The sequence below is a fragment of the Homo sapiens genome, chromosome 15, assembly GCF_000001405.40.
Source record: "Homo sapiens chromosome 15, GRCh38.p14 Primary Assembly".
Classification (NCBI taxonomy): Eukaryota; Metazoa; Chordata; class Mammalia; order Primates; family Hominidae; genus Homo; species Homo sapiens.
This window is the reverse complement of record NC_000015.10, coordinates 48863026-48883609: the sequence shown is the minus strand read 5'-3', so window position 1 is coordinate 48883609 and position 20584 is coordinate 48863026. Positions and strand designations below refer to the sequence as shown.

The window sequence follows — 20584 nt, the reverse complement described above, 5'->3', positions numbered from 1 at the left end:
GGACATTTTGTTTGGCTTGCTTTTAATTTTTTAAACTAAATTCCTTCTATCAGGTTATGTATGTGTGTTAGGATCTGATTTTCCTCTTTGTCTAATATGTTGTGATCCAAGTTTCTTTACACTTAAGGTTTTACTGTATGGAGTGCTGTTGATCAAGGTTTAATATGTACTTGGCAATAATAACATGCTAAAAGTCTGAGGTTACATATGGGTTGAAATGCTGGCTTTGCCACTTACTAGCAAATGACTCTACTACTCTGGGCTTCAGTTTTCCTCATCAGTGAAATGAGGATTATGGTACTTATTTATAAGGTTTCTGAGAGGATGGATTTTAAGTGTCTCATAGGGCTGTTTAGAGGATTAAATGAGATAATAGATGTAAATTATATAGCATGTGCCAGTCACATGATACCTATTATTATTTACTCAAATATTCTCAGAGACCTTTTCATATACTCAGTACTTAATAGGAAGTGCATATTATAAGATTATAAAATTATCAGTAACATATAAGTACAGGTTTTGAGGTCTATTTTATTTTCTAAATTAAAAAAACAGAATAAAATACACTGTTTAAGCAGTAGTATACAACACCTTAGAGGAAAAGTGTTAATATGAAACAGTTACAAATAAGTTCTTGTCTAGTTGGGTCCTGACTGATCTTCCAAGAGTGGTGATACCATTGGTATCATGAGAGCATAACATTTTGGGCTGCACTTGGAAGACACATGTGGGTGGTGAAACATTCATTCAGTCATTCTGACATTTTGACTTCAATACATATGTAGATGCAAAATTTATTTTCAGTTTTCATTCACATGGATGGTACCACGCAAGCTCAATGCTTTTAGTTATGAGATCTCACTAAGTAAAGGAGCCCTCGGGTTATCTCAGAGTTTTGTAAGGGAGGAAGAGTAGGCAAAGCTGAAGCCATCATAATGACAGCCTTTTGGGTAGAATCTATGATCATTTTTTAAGATGGCCCTTTCTGTGGGGTGTCTGAAATGAATAAGGAATTTATGAATGGGATTGTGGTATATGTGGTGGGGCAGAGTTTATTCTCAGCCTCTCTTTCCCCTTCAGTACCCTTCTTTAGGGCAAAGTATTACTACCCATCCATAATCTTTCAGGCAAAACAGAGGTGAGGATAACGGGTGGTTTTCATTACCAGTAACTATAGTAATATGATGTGCCTTTGAAAGTAATCCATAGCTTTTCTGCACTGGTGGCATGGAATGGGTTGTATTCAGCCCACTGCTAGAGTGGGGACCAAAGTTAAGATCTCATTTATCTCAGACCTGAGGGCTGATTTTTAATAACTATTTTGAGCTTTCCTGCAGGCCTAGGGGAAATGGCTGGGGGATATGGGGGAGAGATGTGCCACTGTAGAGGCCTCAACTCAAGAAGCTTTATTTCCCATGAGAAAGGCAACTAAAATGTTTAAGAAATGAAGGCAGCAAAGATGAGAGACCTTGTGGATACAGCACAAGAAAAGGATTAATTAAATCCTTAATGCTACCACTGGAAGTTCTAAAATAAATACAAAGAAATACTAATGCCTTCCCCATCCCCACTTAATTTCTAAGATATGCTTTGGACTGAAAACAAAGGTTCAAATTTATGGATATATTCATAGATGATAGCATTTATGGAACGGATAGTTCACATTTATCTTTGGCCACTGAGAACATCAAGAATATAACAATTCATTCCCAGAAAATATTTTACAAACCTCCAGAGGCAGAAAATATTAAACATGCGATGCTTGCAATTTTTAAATATTACCATATTTCAGGATGGGAATACATTTTTGCAAGGGTAAGTTATAGGTATTTCCTTGTTTTAAAATTCAAGCAACAGACTTTATTGACATACTTTAATATAGTATTTTAGGGCCTCAAGCAAAGTCAGAGTCTCAGTTGCTCACACTCCCACTAATTCTTTACTGATTTCTACAACTCTAACAGGTACTGAATTCAGAAGGGTAATAGAGTTAAGGTAAAACAGGCAAAAATTGAGACATCCTTTAGTCTCTACAAGGAGAGGCAACTTGAGATATTTAGAGGCCAAGTAGGTAATGCAAGCTGTGCAAGCACAAGAAAAAACAATGGTGCAGGCCCAATGATAAATGTCAAGTGCTACCTGGCCTCTGTGTTGGGGAGACAACACTGAGGGACTTGGCAAACAGAATCTTCCTTATCTAAAGGTGAATCAGATGGTTTTTTTTTTTTTTTGCTTTGTTTTTTTGTTTGTTTGTTGGCTACATAGGTCTATAGGTCAAAGGCTCCCAGATCTTTTACTTTAAAAAAATAATAATAAAAAGGTAAGAATCTAGATTTTTAGCTGCTGTCTCTGTACTGAGATGTTGGTCTCTTAAAATTATAAGCATGAACCAAACAAAATAGATCTGTGGCCTGAAGACAGTCAACATGGGATATCTGATCTAAGCGAACATTTATAATATGTATGGATAAATTTGGAAAACTCTCCCTAATCACACCGTGTACTCAAAATCTTCTTTAAATCCCCTACCTTGCAAAATCAGAATTTCCCCAGAACTCCTTTCTCTAGCTTCCTTAAATGAAGACACACACACACACACACACACACACACACACACACACTCTCACACACATCATCATTTAGTCCTCACAATTTGTAAGGTACATCCAATTGTTCCTATTTTCAGTTTAGGACATGAGCCAGAGAGATTAATTTCCCAGTTACTGAGCTAATAAATAGTAGAACCCAAATTTTAACCAAGTAGTCTGGTTTGTCTGTGGCAACTGCATGTAAAAGAAACACAAATAATTTTACACCCCTAAAAGGGGTGTTAAAATGTTTTCTATCCTCAATAAATACAAGTAAGTATTTACAATTTTCATTGTCTCTCAGCTTACTGCCTATTTTTAAGACTGAAAAACAACCAAGTCAATTGCAGAGCCCAGGTTTTTCTCCCCAAGATGGGCCTTCAGATGGAATAGTGTTTCCCACCCCCACCTCTTTGCCCTACTCAGTCCCAGAGAAAAACAGAATCACAACCTTCTAGTTTGTGGACCTCAGATTTTTTTTTCCAAGAGTTTATCTTTCCTAGTAAAGATAAACTTTCCTGGTAAAGATAAAGATCTGGAGGTAAATACAACCAGCCAGTTTATTGTGCACTAGCATACCCCCACCCACACTAATTTACATCATCCATGCAATTAATTACCTATCCACACTCATCTGACCGTAGCTGCACGCTAATTGAGAAAGCAGTGGAAGAGGCAGTAGGATTAAGTCTAAGCACCAACATTTTACTTCCACCATCTCTCCCTCCTAACCCAGCTAGTGTCTGAGCAATTCTGATCAGCCTTGTCACAGTCCTATCTTTTACAGATCTCTCTCCCCAAAAGACAGGATGACCATAAAATAAATAAGGCTCTGAATTGTCCTGTTGCATTGGATATTCGTTCTTTACTGCTATAATGGAGCAGAAGCATTTGGAACATTTTTACTGATCATGATAAAACCTGCTGATACACTTATTTTGCTGAACCTAGCCTTCTGATGTAATCATTACTCTCCTAGAACTTCAGCATCTTAGTAAGGTAACCACGGCAACATACTCATTGATAGGGCAGGTTTTCCCAGACCAGCAAATTCTTATAGGCAAAAACTTAATTTACAAAGTTTAATTTCCAGAAATTAATTTGTGAATTAGATAGCTGAAGCTGGATCATTTTCCCTTAATACTGGTTAACACATACAATAGAAAGTAGTATACAGAGAAAGTATGTATGCAATACTATTAGCCAAACAAAATACACAGAACAAGAAATTTTATTATCTCCAATGCTGGTGCATGACAAATAACAAGCTTAATTAGAGGAGGAGACAGAGGGAAACTTCAGATACCAAGGTAATTTCTGGGCAGGTTTAAAACCTTTAAAAGTTGATAGAATAACTGTTCATAAAGTCTTTTTAGATATAGCGCTTTTTACTTGACAACTTTTATTAACAGTTCTTACAATATGAAGTTCAACTAAAGTCCTTCATCTGTCAAGTTAAAACAGCAAGCAAAACAAAATTTCTCTAGTATATAACAGCATAAGCAATGGTTTGTTTTCTTTGTACATTCACACACATTTAGTGTCTAGATTTGAAACTTTTTAATTAAGGATGTCTTAATTTTTGACTTTTAAAAATGGTTATGACAATGGATTTTCTTGATTTATAGATCACAGTGGCTTTATAAATGATCAAGATACATGTACAAACAAAATTTCAGATGCTCTTGGAAACACATCTTAAGATACAAAGCACACGTGATACATATTTGAGTTTACTCATCCATTTATCTTACACTGAAAATGTAGCCTTTGATAACTGTGGCTTGACTAGATCACAAAATAGAATTTTCCAAGTTTTCTTAAGCTTTCAGTCCAAATAACTCAAAAGATATGTGTCCTAGTTGGATACATTTTTTTCTCATTATATAATTAGTATCAGTGGGCTTTTGTATTGGCAGTTTGTCTTGGTCATGACTTATTCTTGCAAAACCATCTTTACAGCAAACAAATATGAAAGATATTTTCCCCAATGCAAGGAAAATAATCTGGATCAATAACAAAGTCAAAGCCATAGGTGTTTTAGGACGTTCTTGATAATTGATTTCAACGGTCTTAAAATCTTTTTTCTTTTTCTTTAATGATTCTCTTCCTTTTTCACAACTGTGCAGTCACTGTCCTATTGTGTTCTATTCTGAAAAACAAATTTTTTTGAAGGTCAAGTTTTTCAATGGCACAAAACTATTTGGAATGAACCCAAAAGATAGCGGAAAGTTGGGTCCCTCCTCAAGTAGTTTCCTCCTCTTTTAACAGCATCTAACTACTCTCTATCAATAATCTCATCACAGCCGAGTTCTTCGGTCAGACGATTGACAACCATCAGTGAAAAAAGCTCTTCGATAAAAGCTAACTGATCAAACGGGGTCTTCTCATAATGCATCTGAAACCCGCCATCCAGGGCTGGTTCTCTTGTTCTCAGAAACATCTTGTCGGCTTCTTCAAGAGCGGCTGATACTCTGTAGCCGGCACCACTGAGCTGCTCCTCTTCGGGATAGTCGTAGTCGTCCTCCCAGTCATCAAATTCCTCGCCCTCGTCCTCGCTCTCGAAGTCTGCGCCCGCCACCTGGCCTGGCTGCTCCCCAGCGTTGGGCCCGTTAGCAAGGCTCCGTTTCCCCTCTGGCGCCGCCATTGGCTGGGCCTCCTCCTCCTCCATTGGGCCTTCCTCCTCGAGCTGTTGGGCCCCGCTGCGGGAGGGACGCAGGGATAGCTCCCGGCTCCCGCTGCCTACCTCCATCTGCGGAAGGTCACCCTCGCCAGGCATCACATCCATCTGCAGGTCACTGCTCTCTTCATACAGCTCGGACAACTCAGCCATTTCCGACATTGTGCAAACCGCTCAACCTCTAGGAAAAAGCTTCCAGCAAGACAGATGCTGCGCGGCCGTGCGTTCGTGCGCGTGCGCAAAGGCTGCGCGCTTGCGTAACCCCGCGCGCAGGCGTGGTCCTCAGGTACCGCCTCCTACTTGGCGCGCCACTGTGGTTGGAGTAGCTCAGTGTTTTCTCCGGGGTGTTGGCGTCGCCTTTTGAGCTACGTTTCCATCGATTCGAACTTCGTATCTAGGGACCCTGCATGCAAGAGCGTAACAGTTTCTGTGTTACTTAACCCTACTGCTGCTTGTAATGCTGCAAACCGGAAAATAACCTTACATGGCCTTCGTAACATTTAATGCTCCTTCCCCCCCTTCCTCTTCCCCTGGGCAATTTACCGATGTACTGATGACTTGTAAATCCACGTCTCCAAACCAGACAACATCCATAACCACAGATCAGCATATTAAGAACTAATCCATTTTGTCCTTTTAGTGTTTTCATTTAAAAAGTTAAATTCACAAACAACAGATATATTGTACTTTTTTTTTTTTTAGTTATAGTGAAGAAATACTTGGTCCCATTTCTTTTCGCCTGGGAGGTATCTTTCCACTATTAGCAATGCGGTGTGTATTCTTTGAATTCTTTTTATTTGCATTTACATGTATCTTTATGTATTGACAGCAAAATACTATTTTGTGTGTTTTTTAAAAACATGTTTTACCTGTTTTTACCTTCAACTTAAAAGCCTCAGGTTTTAAGTTGTATATACTTATATGAATTATATGACTGTGTATACTTACAGGATTCAAGCACATTTCATTTATTCTGCACTTTATTTCTATTATTATTACATTATAGTTATGTAGAATTATACAACTCACCATAATGTAGAATCAATGGGAGCCCTGAGCTTGTTTTCCTGCAACTAGATGGTCCCATCTGGGGGTGATGAGACACAGTGACACCCGAGGTGTGTTCCTTATGTCCGGTCTATTCTGTAATCTCATTTTGGTTGCTGTTACTGTGGAAAATCCTGCCTCACAAAGATAGGATGTTGAAAATGGAAGGAGGCTTTTCAGTACTTTTGTGGCAATCTCAGGATGTTCCGCCTTGACTTTAATCGAGAACGTATGGAGATTTGAAGTTGTCTCAAACATACTTTTAAGGCCACCGTCATTTGCAATATCAAGCAGTTGATCCTCTTCTAGCGTGGACAAAGTGGATTCACCTGGCTTATTCACAAATGGGTCACAGATCCATTCCGTCTTTTGTGGATGAGAAGTGTGATGGTTAATACTGAGTGTCAACTTGATTGGATTGAAGGATACAAGTATTGATCATTGGTGTGTCTGTGAGGGTGTTGCCAAAGGAGATTAACATTTGAGTCAGTGGGCTGCGAAAGGCAGACCCACCCTTAATCTGGTTGGGCACAATCTAATCAGCTGCCAGCTTGGCTAGAATATAAGCAGGCAGAAAAATGTGAAAAGAGAGACTGGCCTAGCCTCCCAGCCTAAATCTTTCTCCTGTGTTGGATGCTTCCTGCCCTCGAACATTGGATTCCCAAGTTCTTCAGTTTCAGAACTCGGACTGGCTCTCCTCTCTCCTTAGCCTGCAGACAGCCTATTGTAGGACCTTGTGATCATGTGAGTTAATACTTAGTGAACTCCCCTTTACATATATATACATATATATGTGTATATGTATGTGTGTATGTGTATATACGTGTGTGTGTGTGTGTATATATATATGTATATATTCCATTAGTTCTGTGCTTCTAGAGAACCATGACTAATACAGGAAGTAATGCTCAAAATATTTTGAAAGCTGAGATAGGTGATCATGCACCAGCTGGGAGAAAGAAGACCCTGGCTCAGTCTCTTTCAAAATCTCTGCTAATGTTTGAAATGTCAGAAATCCCAGTGTTCATTTGTCACCCGCATGATTCCAGTTTGGCTTTGAATGCAGCCACCTTATCTGCCAAGTTGAACACAGTTGTTGTTCGTCCCTGAAGTGACAGAGTTCACTGAGCAGGTTGAATATGTCACACAAGTAAGCAAGTTTTTTTGTGACCCATTCTGTGTCACTGAAATGTGCCGCCAATGGTGACTGTTTTTCTACAAAGAAATCTCTGAAGCAGCTCTCTTAACTCAAAAACTCTGGCCAGTGATCTACCTTTAGAAAGCCATCTCACTTCTGTGTGTAAGAGAAGACGTGTGTGCTCTGCATCCATCTCCTCACAGAGCTGCACAAACAGATGTGAGTTAAGGGCATGTATAATATGGTTGATAATTTTAATCACATACTGCAAAATGTTGTTAAGTTCAGGTGACATTTTCTGACTAGCCATCATTTCTCTATGGATGACATGGTGCATAGACTCACATTCAGAAGCGACCTCTTTGACCTGAGTAGTGAAACCAAAATGCCATCCAGTCATGGCAGCTGCTCCACCCATGCATATACCGATGCAAAATGACTGATTCCACTTTCCTGATATGTAATCATTCAAAGACTTGAATAGTTCTGCATCTGTGGTGCTGGTTGGCAACAAAAGTGCATATAGCATATCCTCATTCACATCCTCCTGCAAAATATATCACACACAAAAAAGCATTGTTCCTTTCTAACAATTGTGCCTCATTATCCTCTGATATTTCATCAGTTCATCTAGTTGTGGTGCTAGCCAAAAGAGGAACACATGCCACCTTTTGAACTGCAGCCTCTCCTGAAAGTTCATGACAAATGTCCTTAGAAGCAGGCAGGATCAACTCTTCATCAATAGTAAAGGACTTCTTAGCTTTAGCAATGTGGTTAGCCACTAAGAATGATGCTCTCAGTGCAAACACATCTGATGAAGTGGTGGCCTTCAATAATTTCTTCTATTCTTTGTGTTCACATTGTTTTCTTTTGAAAAACTCCAAAGGCTTAGTATTAATGCAGGGTGTGTGGTCTCCATGTGACAAAGCAGTTTAGAAGGCTTCATGGCTTTGTTAGATAGCCACTTGCTACATGTTATGCAAAGCAAGCTTGGATAATGTGAATCACCTGTTGTAATGAACTGGTATTTTAAGTAGGACTCTTGATATTTTCTTTTAAATGCAGCTTTATTTTTGTTGGCAGTCTTAAAGTCTTCTGCAGTCTCATCACTGGATCTTTCCCCCTTTTCAAAGAACCTCTCCAGTGAAGTTTGTTTTTTACTCATTTTGGCTAGGGTTAGCTTATGGGCTTACCAAAACTGTGACCGAGAAAGTGCATGGTGCAGGAAAGAGACATGGATGGGAGTGGTAAATAAAATAATGGGCGGGTCAGGAACAAACTAAAATAGTCGGATTCAGACTTAAAGCCTGCCATCAGCTGCAGCTGTACAACTGAAGTACATCAACTCACTTGCCACTATGTAGCCTGCCACCAGATGCAACTTAAGTGTCACTTGCTACTTACCGATAGGGTTTTGATATGAGTCTGCAAGCAATTGATTTATTATGGTCTCTGTGCAGTCAAACCTCTCTGCTATTGTTAATCTGTATTTGCAGCCACTCCCCAGCACTAGCGTCACCACCTCAGCTCTACCTCAGGTCATCAAGCATTAGATTCTCATAAGGAGCATGCAACCTAGATCCCTCGTATGTGTAGTTCACAATAGGGTTCATTCTCCTATGAGAATCTAATGTCGCCACTGATCTGACAGGAGGCAGAACTCAGACAGTAATGTGAGCAACGGGGAGCAGCAGTACATACACATGAAGCTTCTCTTGCTCATCCACTGCTCACCTCCTCTGCAGCCCGGTTCCTAACAGGCCACGGACTGGTACTTGGTCTCTGGCCAGGGGAGTCGGGAGCCCCTGCTCTAGTTCTTCTCACCATGGACACATGATTTCTGGCTGACTGCTGCTTGGTGTCAGATTTATCATAGACTAAAAGTTCTTAAATACATGAGTCTATTTTTAGACTTTGAATTCTTGTGACATTTTTACAGTTTTATATCTTGCTGTTTGATCAGGAATATTTTGTCTTTGTTCTTTAAAAAACTGCGCTAACTCTTCTTGTGCATTTATTCTTTCATATGAATTTAGGAGCATCTTGAATGTGATATTATAATATTTCTTATTATCTTATAAGGGAATTCTTATGCATTTGTTCTTTTAAAATTTGCTTTAGCTGTTCTTGCACATTTATTCTTCCATATGAATTTTAGAAGCATTTTTATTGGAATTGCATGGAATTTATAAATTAATCTGGGGTAGGATTGACACCTTTGTAATACCATCTTCTCATCCATGAGAGTGATATATATCTTTCTACTTGTTCAGATCTTATTTATACTCTTCAGTGAAGTTTTCCAAAAAGCATTACATGATTCTTATTAGTTTTGTACTAAAGTACTCTTACAAAGTGTACCTTTCTCCCCAAAATACAGTGTCTAATTGGCTATTTTTCTGTTTTTTTTTTTGAGACGGAGTCTCGCTCTGTAGCCCAGGCTGGAGTGCAGTGGCATGATCTCAGCTCACTGCAAGCTCCGCCTCCCGGGTTCACACCATTCTCCTGCCTCAGACTCCTGAGTAGCGGGGACTACAGGTGCCCACCACGCCCAGCTAATTTTTTGTATTTTTAGTAGAGATGGGGTTTCACTGTGTTAGCTAGGATGGTCTCAATCTCCTGACCTCATGATCCGCCCGCCACGGCCTCCCAAAGGGTTGGGATTACAGGCGTGAGCCACTGCGCCCGGCCGACTATTGTTGATATATGGGAATGACATTGATCTTTGTATATTGACTTTGTTTTTACTGAAATATAAATGTAGACAAGTACACAGATAATAAGTCCGTAATAATTATCACAAAATGAACAGTTGTATAACCAATATTCAGATCAAGAAACTCCAGCAATCCCAGAAAATCTTTTGCCCCTTCTTCCTGTGCTCCAGAAATAACCACTGTTCTGATTTCAAATACCATAATTTTGCCTAGTTTTGAACTTCATATAAATTAAGCCATGCAGTATATTCTTTGTGTTAGACTTCTTTTGCTCAGCAAACATGTTGCTGCTATATAGTATGCCACCATTGAATATTACAATAGTCATCATTGGAATTGTTTCCAATTTAGGGCTGTTATGAACAGGGCAGTTATTGTCTTCTTTGAGAATATTTTTTGTTGCACATATTTACACAATTGTGTTGGATATACGTCTAGGAATAAAATTGCTGGTCATCTTATATAATCAGCTTTGGTAGATTCTGTCACACAATTTTGAAAGCAGGATTAGTCAATAGGTGCATAGTTGGTGTTTTAATGAACCTTCAAAATAGCATGACAGATATGTCTCTGCAAATGGTCATTACACTGTGGTTTGCAAACAAGCAATCCTAGACTCTCAAATAGAAGACAATCTTCTTAGCTAATTAATGTGGTTACTTGGCGATTCTTACTCATATTAGAAGTCCTAATGTTAGTGCCTTACTCAGGATACATTTAGTAGTGAATGACTGAAATCAAATTCAAACTAACTTTTGCAAAAAGAAACAAAAATATAAAGGGAGAGGGTGAAATATATTGGTTAAAGTGATGGAACAAATGTTACCACCAGACTTTTTTCCTATTTTTAGTTCTCAGTTCCGATTTTCATCAGAAGAAAAGCTTCATATTCCAGCAGACTTTTCTCACATGGCAGCATAATATGGCCCCTAGAAGCTTTGGGCTTACATAGTTTTTAATGGCAGAGAGAGATGCTTTCTCTCCTATTATTCATTTCAGTTCTTCCCAAAATACATTGATTGGCTCTGCTGTATCCAGAGAGATGGTATTTTCTGATTGGCTAGCCCTAGATAATGTTCCACCTGGGTGGGCAAGGGCAGTGAGATGGGCATCACAAAATCATCAGAATCTCGTGGTTTAAATGAGATTATTATAGAGTGTAGGTTGGGTGGTTTTCAAAGGGATGCTGATCAGGCAAAAACAAAACAAACAAATGTATGTCTATTACTGTTAGACTGTATATAACTAGAAATAACAATTAATTTATATTAGTATACATGTTTATGTTTTTCAGATTATTGCAAATCATCATATGCAGTCTATTTCATTTGCCTCTGGAGGGGATCCTGTAAGTATGGATTCACAGAAGTTCTTTTTATGAGTTAAAATAACTTCTTGACATTTGGGGCTGGATGATAATAAAATAAAATAACTTTTACATAAACCATATTAGCCACTACATGTCTTTTCCTAACATACTATTACAGTCTGTGAATAGCTACATGTAGCAGATAATAAAATATTTTCTTTAGGCAAACATTTCCTATTATTAAATTTTAAAATACTTGGATTAGTAGATGAGCTAGTAGTGCTCCATTGTGTTATTAGCCATGGAGTTATCATCTAATAAGCTTCTTGTTGATAATATCTAGGTCATGAAAAGCAAGTATGTCATACATGTGTTGCTCAATCCTTCCTTAGAATTCTTCTCAACACAGAGTTTCTGGAACACTTTACTAATCAACTGGACTTGATATATCAACCAAGTCAACTAAGTCTAATCTGGAATGAGCAACCAGGTTTGCAGGAACTCATGGAGGAAATGCTGAGCTGGGGAGAGAGAACTTGTAGTTCTTCTCTACCAAGATGGGGTCATGTGATACTCACTTCCCAGAAATTGTACAGGATTTCTCCAAGCCTACTCTGCAGAATGGAGTGTCATTCCTTGACTCCCTACTGCACCATTTCTGGACCACAGCAAAAGGAGAGGGGCTTTGAAGCTAGGGAGCCTGCAACTGAGCAAGAAGCAAATCTGTTTAAACTGAGGGAGTAGAAGAATACTTTTGCCACTCTGTGACATTATTGGTCTTTTTATTGTACTCTTTCCTCTTCTAATCTTCCATATGTTTTGATGAAAGGTTAGAAGAGGATGGAGTATGACTTTCATAATGGTTAAACATCAGCCATGTCAAGAAAGCAGGGGGAACATACACAGACCTTGTTCTTACTCAGAATGTATTACCTTCTTTTCTGCAAAGCATTTTTTAAAGAAAAGATTATATCCTTCAGGAACGAACCAATACAATTCAGTTTAACCATTGATTGTTTTCTATCCACCACATTTAGTTTTCACCTGTAATTGAGGAATAAAATGTAGAGTCATAAATGATAGGACAATAACCTAGAAACCCAAGAAAGATATAGAGGATGCTAAAAACTAAATCTGGCAGCTGATACCATGGTAGTTTTCATTTGTTTTAAACTTTTTGCTAAATATTCAATGGGGGAGAAATAATTGTATATCCTAAAAGGAAGTAAAGTTCTGAAGTTACTCTGTAATCATTGCTTCATTTACTGGCATCTAAAGCATTTAAGCAGGTTCTTCCTCTTGGGTGTTGGTGTAACTTACCTGTGTATAAAATATATAGCTAAATTAGCCAATTCTTAAAAACACTTCAATAATTACTTGTCTTCACATTGGCTACCAATGACCTAAAGTATTTAAGCATGTCAAACCAAGACATGCTTTTTTTTTTTTTGAGACGGCGTCTCACTCTTGTCACTCAGGCTGGAGTGCAGTGGCACGATCTTGGCTCACGAAGCATATGGAAGAAAAGCAGCCTTTACAGGATTTCAAACCCTTGTTTTCTAATTAATGGATATCCAGTTTCCCCTTTAAGCTTTACTACTTCCTCATCTTTTAGCCTGGGGTATAGTTATTTTCAAATAACTATTATATATTAGTTCCATGATGCTGCCATTTTTAAAAGTAAACCAAATGTTAAGAGTTCCACCTTTTCCCCAAGAAATTCCACAGATGCCTAATTGTGAATTCCCATTAGCAAACAAGGGACATACAAGGTGTCTGGTGCTTAGCAGCTGCTATTTGAGCCCAAGAGCCTATCTGGACTCTTTTCCATCCAGCCTTGTAATCTGGCCTCAATAGCAACACCAAGGATGGTGGCTGGCAGGGAGGGTCAACTGAATCCAGGCTGAAAAATACCAGCACTTTCTCTTCTCCCTAGCTCAGTCATCCATGAAGGAACTCAAATACTTTTCTTAAGAGATTTAAAGTAGTGTTTATACATGTAGTGTGAAAAATAATTATTGGCATTTGCCCTAAATTTCTTAAGGGTTGTCATCATGTTAGAATTGGTGCGCAAACATTTACTCAAGGCATGCCCTGAATGATTTCTGTTATTGTTCTCCAGAATCTTAATTTTTTTCATACTCTCTTCATGTGCCTTTAGTTCTTTAAATTGACCAAACCACTGTTCCTATAAAAAACAAACATTAAATAATTTGTGGCCACTATGGGAAAGTTTGTACCTGCTGCATTGAGAGCACCTCTGTGCTCTCTAAAGCTGGTGAGAAAGCCTGTTGATTCTAATTTAAAGTAGAAATCTGGCGGCGGTGCCATGGCTTGGTTGGTTAAAGCACCTGTCTAGTAAAATAGAAGTCTGGAGCCACCCTAAGCATTGGCATTAGAAATCATCTCTATGAAGTTTTACCATCAGGTCAGGGAGGCAGTATTATGTACTGCCAGGCTTTGGAGTCAAGTAGACGTGACTTATTTAAACTCCCTAAACTCCAGAGTCCTCATATGTAAATGGAGGATAATCCCTATTGCCTGACAGTGTTGTGGGAATTAAGTGAAATGATACATGGTTAGTGTTAGCGCAGGTCCTGGCACACAGTCACAAGAAGTAACTACTACCACAATTGCTAACACATACCCATATTTGTTTTAGGATATTAACTGAGATCGTTTACAGCTTCACAGTGAACTGTGTACAAGGGTAGGAAGCTGACTTAAAAGTCCCTGAGGTCCAACATAGTAATCTTTCTACAAGATTTCCTCCAAAATTTCAAAAATAATGAATAGCCTTCTCATCTCTTGGCCTTTGCTCACCCTCATTTTTACTCTCTTTGCAAAAACAGTTGTTTTCCATCCGTCAGCCCTGAAAACAGTTGTTGGTAATGCCTCTATAACTATATATACTTTCTCCACTTAAAAAGTGCATTGTGAGTATGTCAAAAATTAAATACATTTAAACATATTTTCCCCTGCTATTTGTGCTTTACTTTTAGCATTCTGTAAATTCTCCCAAATGTTTACAGCTATAGAATTTTAGAACTATACCAATGTTGGAGGCTGTTTTGAAAATGAGAAAACTGAGGTCTGTAGAGGTCTCACAGCCTCTTTCCCATAATTGGACCTACCAGACAGCATGGCTGGCATCAGACCACCTCTTCACTTGAATAAGAGTGGCAAAGTCCCCAGCAATTGTGGCTTTCCTTCTAAATTCATATAAAACAAAGCCCAAGGATATGGCCTTATTTATTTAGAGGATATTTAAAACCTTTTTTCTTTTTGCGTAAGAGAAATTTACTCAGGTATGTGTTATTATTTTCTTTAATTGCCCAAGACGAGTTATGCTGACCCTGAGATCCACTTCCTGTGTGATTCATTGTGGGTTATTAAGTGATTATCCTTGAGGGTATTACAAACATGGGCTTTTATTTCCTGCCAGTTGATTGCATCTTCCCTCTAGAGAGTCATACTTCTAATCTGCAAATGGAATTGTGTGTATTTTTTCCCAAGAACTTAGATAACAAAAAGCATCTTTAATTATTAAAACCTTATCATTCATCAGCTTACTGTTTTCAATAAAAGCTGGAATTACCAAGTAGCGTTTTGTTGGTTTGTTTTTACGAAGTCAGCAGTGCATCTCTTTTTGAACTTCTTAAGTTTTTCAGGGGTTCTCTTTTTTTTAAAATGATTTTTCTTTTCTGTATATTGATCAAATAAATTCCTTGTATTTTCACTTTATTATCCCTTAAGTTAACTTACACTGCATACAAGCAAGCTAACAACCACAAAATCCAACATGTCTCTTTAGTCAACTTACTTTCTGATGTATGTGGTATATGTTTGGACAACAGGAGATCATGATACCCTATCTTAGTTTATGTCACTTTTGTGATTGCATAATCCCTGATATTTCAACTTTCAACCTAGGACAGCATCATAGTCTCTAGCCAGTTTTAAAGAATATGTCCTAACATGTTCCCTATCTGCTTTCTCTTTTATTCTTAATGACAGTCTGCCTCTAAATTTTTAATTTTCCAATTCTTTCCCCAAGGGACAGAGAACATGGACTCCATAATTGTTAAACTATATGGTGTATATTTGTTTATGTTCCCTTTTACAATGCTTTTCTTGTCTCTTTAAATAAAAAACATTTGTATTTGAGTCCTTGCCTCAGTATCATGTCCAAAATATATGTTTCTTTCAACAGTACAGTTCATCCATTTTAAATACAGTCATTTTCCCTTTTTTATAGGATACTACAGACTATGTTGCCTACGTAGCTAAAGATCCAGTTAATCAACGAGGTATGGAAAGCAACTTACAGATTTTTTAAAGAGCTGGTATATACCAACTCTAAAAAGTAACCAACAGTTATTTTCAATGTACAGAGTGATGACTATCACTAGGGTGCTATACTGGATTCTAGAAATATTATGCAAATTTGAGTTGGAAATAAATTGCCCTGTTAGCAGAGCAAAGTAGAAAAACTATGTAGATGAAATTTAAATCATTTTAAAGATCCACAAACCAAAGGCTTAGCTATCAAAAGAGAAGCTATTATGGTTATGATAGAGGGGGCTGGCTGTCACATCCCCACTGGACAAATGAATTACATGTAAGATCAAAGCCAGTGAGGAGTGAGGTTATTGGCCTGCATTGGCTTTGGTGTGTGTGTGTGTCTGTGTGTGTGTCTGTGTGTCTGTGTACTTGCTGTTCAAGAGCCTGTATTATCTCTTTGAATGCTTGACTTCATCATATGGATTTCAGCTTAAATGCCTCTTCTTCAGAGACCTTCTTTGATAGCACCTCCTGTCTCCAGTAGCATTTCCTACCTTGTTGCATCACAACACTTATTTCTCTTTTCATTAACACTCCACATTTCTATTATAGGTTAGTGCAAAAGTAATCACAGTTTGCCATTGCTTTTAATGGCAAAAACTGCTATTACCTTTGCACCAACCTAATATTTTATTTACTCACATATTGCACTTGTTTGTATGTTTAATGTGTCCTTTCTACTAGGCTAAAATCTTCATGAGGGCAGGAACCTGTTTCTCTTACTCGCTGTTGTTCCCTAGCACTCACCATGATGCCTAGCATATAGGCGATACTCAAAAACTATTTTATTGAATGACTGAGTGAATGGAAGAGTGATTTGATGGGAATTCTTGTTTCAGGATTTAGCAAGGTCACATGGTTAGTATTGCTTCTCATCCCTAACGCTGGGACATTCAGACTCCTCTTAGGGAGAAGTGTTAGGTTCCTCCTTAACTAGAACGTATTGGTTGGGCCACATCCTCTGCTGTCCCAGGTATGGAGTTTGCCCCCAAACATTTATTAAGTGGACATGGAATAGGACTTGAAAATTTAGAGAGCTATAAGACACCGAGGTGGAAATGTACATGGGATGCTGGGGAGTAAATAAATAGAACACCCTGGACCTCACAATGTAAAAGCGTAAAAGGCATCTATAGGACAGACACGAGAGAGCTAATGAGTAGGGACTTAATCCCATGGGCAGATGGGTGGAGAGTACTGTTTACAAAGTAGAGTTTAGACAGATTGGTTTGGCAGCAGGATGTAGTAGATGGATTCAGGGAGAAACTTAAGGCAGGGATATCCATTTGGAAGCTATTGTGATTGTCAGAAATGAAATGATGAAGCCCAGCTGCTGGCACAGAGCCTGGCACGTAGTAGATCCTCAGCAAATGTTTGCCAAAAGAATGTGGCAGCAAAAAGATGAAAAGGAAGGAACAGAGGATAAACAGTATGAAATACTCCATTAAAACTGACCCACTCTAAACTAAATAAGAAGAATGAATCATGGTCAAAGAGTGTGCAGGAGAGACAGGAACCAGTGAATGGGGCAGTGGGAATGTAGGAACAGGGCACAACAAAGGATACCAGAAAAGGGCAACTTCTTCTCATCCCTGCCTGAACGTCCCTAAATAATAACTGCTTGCTATTTCTGGGAAGGCCTCTGAACAACAACACTTTTTGTCTTAACATGGAAATGACAGGGTGAAAGGAAGAAAAAAATACATCAGGAAATCTAGATGTTTAGTAACTTTGCCGTCAGTCACAGAATATCTCTGGGCATGTCATTGCTCTTAAGTAAATGATGGTGAAGAGTTCAAAGATTAATGTTGTTGCTAAGGGTAATGGCCAAGAAGGATCCACATGCCTGCAAAGCTCTCCCTTTGCTTAAGTGAAACAGGAGAGGCAGAGAAAATTATGATGCAGCACATTCACTTTGAAAGCCCCTGTTCTGGTGCCTGAGTCATTTGTCAGAGCTGAGCTGCTTGAAGAGGACCCCTGGGGATCCTGGCTTGGGGATTTTGAGAAGGCATTCATGTGAACTGTTGAGCGAGGTCCTGGATGGGAGGTGAGGGACAGAAACAGTCCAAATCAAGGTTTCAGTTTTTTCTTTCTTTAGCCATCAGCCTGTGTATAGGAAATAAGATTGATGCTGGAGTCAGAAAGACTGGGTTGGAATCATAATTATTTCATCATCTCACTGTACGATGTCAGGCAGATTGTTTCACAACCTCAAACCTTGATTTCCTTATCTTTTAAGTGGGAATAATAACATCTGCATAACACATGGAAAGCATAGTTTTCTTTCCTCCCTTATTACATCTTTCTTTCCTATAGGAAAATGGGTGTGTCCAAGAAGATAACTTAGTAACATAGGGTAGTTTTCTTGGCTTTAAAAGTTAATATGTCTCTATCACCTCTTCCTCCTTTTCTGATCTCCTCGTTCTTTCTCATATAGCTTGGCTATAAAAATCCTGTGAGAAGACACTGTGTTCTCAACATACCTCCTCCTTGCACACAGTCCTCTAGTGCTAAATCTTTTCCCCCGACCTGAGCCCTTGGACTGACAGTGCCCGCAAAGAGGTGATGACACAGCTTTTGAATACACAAATAATTATTAATGATTATGGAAGGAAAATCCCACCATGGTATTATCATTTAGCAAGAGGGAGAAACATAATCCATAAGATGTGCATAGAGAAAGAGGGATGCCTAGAGAACAGTGCCTAAAACGCAGTAGATGCTTGGGATTTGTGGAGTAAGTAAAAAAAGACACAGGTGAAAGAGCAGTGTAATGAGAGCTTACAGCCAAGTGTTTGCAGGTTGTGCGAATGTGCGTGTAAAGGCGGGGTTGCAGAGAAAGGAAAAAGTGGAAGTAGGGGTCCCACAGCTGAAAAGATAGACCAGAGACAGATTGTGGGGGGACTTTGAATACTGGCCAGGAGGTCACTGGAGCCATCAAATATTTTGAGCTTTAAAAATATTATTATGTTTTGCTATTCTGAAATTACTAAATGATCATTTTTCTGGCAGTTGTGTCTTTAAAAGTGGTATTGGAGGCCGGGCGCGGTGGCTCACGCCTGTAATCCCAGCACTGTGGGAGGCCGAGGCGGGCAGATCATGAGGTCAGGAGATGGAGACCATCCTGGCTAACACGGTGAAACCCCGTCTCTACTAAAAATACAAAAAATTAGCTGGGTGTGGTGGTGGGCACCTGTAGTCCCAGCTACTCGGGAGGCTGAGGCAGGAGAATGGTGTGAACCCGGGAGGCGGAGCTTGCAGTGAGCCAAGATCACGCCACTGCACTCCAGCCTGGGCGACAGAGCAAGACTCTGTCTCAAAAAAAAAAAAAAAAAAAAAAAAAAAAAGAAAGTGGTATTGGTATTGGAAAGCAGAAAAGCCACCTGGAATGATAGAATTCAATTTAGAGGACATCTCATTAGTCGTGGGCAGCAGTGTAATGTTCTAAATGGCACTGGAGGAGGAAGGAAGAGTTTGGGTCAAATTTGTGAACTAATAGTACTTGATGACTATTTAGATATTTAGATTGATGGAGAAATAGGAATCAGATGTTCCTGAGGATTTAATGAGATATCATATGCAATGCAAACATTTCAATACCTGGCTTATAGCACCTAGGCAGTAAATGGTAGCTATTATTACTATTCTGTGTGATGTGGAGTGATGTTGCCACTAAAGAAACAGAAATTCTCATAAATAGAATAAACAAACAATCTAATAAAAAAAATAGGCAAAGAAAAATGGCTACCATTTATTGCATGCTTACTATGTGCCAGGCATTTTCAGTACTCCATCTGCATTATCTCATTTCATCCTCACAGCAGCCCTAGGGAGTATGTAAACATATCATTCCTTTTTTTAAATAGAAGAAAACACTGGAGGTGAGAAAAATAAGGCGGTTTTCGTAAGATTACCCAGCCATTAAGTGGATGGACAGATTCTACGTCCTGAGCACACAAAAGAACATGGCAAGGCACCAAGAAACATTTGAAAAATAAAAAAGTTTAGCCTCACTAGCAATCAGACACACAAATTATAATTAGACATCATATTTCATCTCCAAATTTCAAACATTGAAAAAAGATAAAATGTGGTTTCGAGTAGTAGTTATTCTTGAACACTGCTGATAAAGAGTTTAGATTCAAACATTTTAAAGAGCAATTTGATCATTTGCATCAAACATCTTAAAAATGTAAATGCCTTTGAACCAGTAGTTTTATTTCTGAGGAAATAATTAGGATACGTACAAAGATTAAGCAATATAGATCATTTTTGTATATTATTTATATCATAAGACAAAATTTAGTATTCATAAGTAGCAAATTAAATAAACTCATAGAATGTACTATGATGCAGCAATTAAAGCTAATAGTAGAAAAATAAGTAATTATATGGGAAAAATATTCACAATGCTGTTAATGCAAAAAACATTATGAAGATTGTGTATAGTATAATCCCAGGTGACTTTTCTGGGTAGATACGCATTATAAGAAGATAGGAAAGACATATGGCAAAATGTTCCTAGTGGTTATTGAGATAACCACTGGATAGTGAAATTTTCTGTAATTTTTATTTCTTCTTGGTGCCTTTTTGTTTTCTAAAACTCTTACAGTGAATATTTATTACATTTATAAAAAGAAAAAATATCCAAAACCTTTGAATAAATGTTTTAAAATAATGAAATCAGAAAGCTGATGTTATAAAATTAACTAGCAAGTTTGTTTCATCCAGGAGAAAATGGCAGACAAGAGAAGCCCA

The 20584-nt window shown here is 38.4% G+C and overlaps 2 protein-coding genes across 5 annotated transcripts in view, besides 3 other annotated features; one reads left to right on the top strand and one right to left on the bottom strand.

Annotated features, from left to right (window-relative positions):
- Positions 1-20584, top strand: part of SHC4 (SHC adaptor protein 4) — a 140179-nt gene that overhangs the window by 80310 nt on the left and 39285 nt on the right. For 2 of the 4 annotated variants that reach the window (NM_203349.4, XM_005254375.4), the window contains exons 5-6: positions 11468-11521; positions 15741-15792. In NM_203349.4, coding sequence (NP_976224.3) covers positions 11468-11521; positions 15741-15792 — 106 coding nt within the window. Of the gene's footprint in view, positions 1-5567; positions 6043-11467; positions 11522-15740; positions 15793-20584 lie in introns of those variants that run through there. The other 2 variants (XM_047432493.1, XM_047432492.1) reach the window with 2 other exon arrangements.
- EID1 (EP300 interacting inhibitor of differentiation 1) lies at positions 3437-5476 on the bottom strand. Its single transcript, NM_014335.3, has one exon. It carries the CDS (start codon positions 5431-5433, stop codon positions 4870-4872), a length of 564 nt encoding a protein of 187 aa, NP_055150.1. The 5' UTR covers positions 5434-5476; the 3' UTR covers positions 3437-4869.
- Positions 5222-5521: an enhancer, noted in NCBI's record as "active region_9380". NCBI's record gives its function as "activates an Ori minimal core promoter by ATAC-STARR-seq in GM12878 lymphoblastoid cells {active_cell/tissue: GM12878}" and the evidence as "EXISTENCE:reporter gene assay evidence [ECO:0000049][PMID:35858748]".
- Positions 5792-5901: an enhancer, noted in NCBI's record as "active region_9379". NCBI's record gives its function as "activates an Ori minimal core promoter by ATAC-STARR-seq in GM12878 lymphoblastoid cells {active_cell/tissue: GM12878}" and the evidence as "EXISTENCE:reporter gene assay evidence [ECO:0000049][PMID:35858748]".
- Positions 8966-9287: a silencer, noted in NCBI's record as "fragment chr15:49166520-49166841 (GRCh37/hg19 assembly coordinates)". NCBI's record gives its function as "represses an EF-1alpha promoter that drives an FKBP-Casp9 reporter gene in an ReSE screen in both phorbol 12-myristate 13-acetate-treated (for megakaryocytic differentiation) and untreated K562 erythroleukemia cells {active_cell/tissue: K562 | K562(+PMA)}" and the evidence as "EXISTENCE:reporter gene assay evidence [ECO:0000049][PMID:32094911]".

Bases quoted from the DNA above. Each gene is read 5' to 3' on its own strand.
- EID1 (NM_014335.3), bottom strand. From the start codon at position 5,433: ATGTCGGAAATGGCTGAGTTGTCCGAGCTGTATGAAGAGAGCAGTGAC.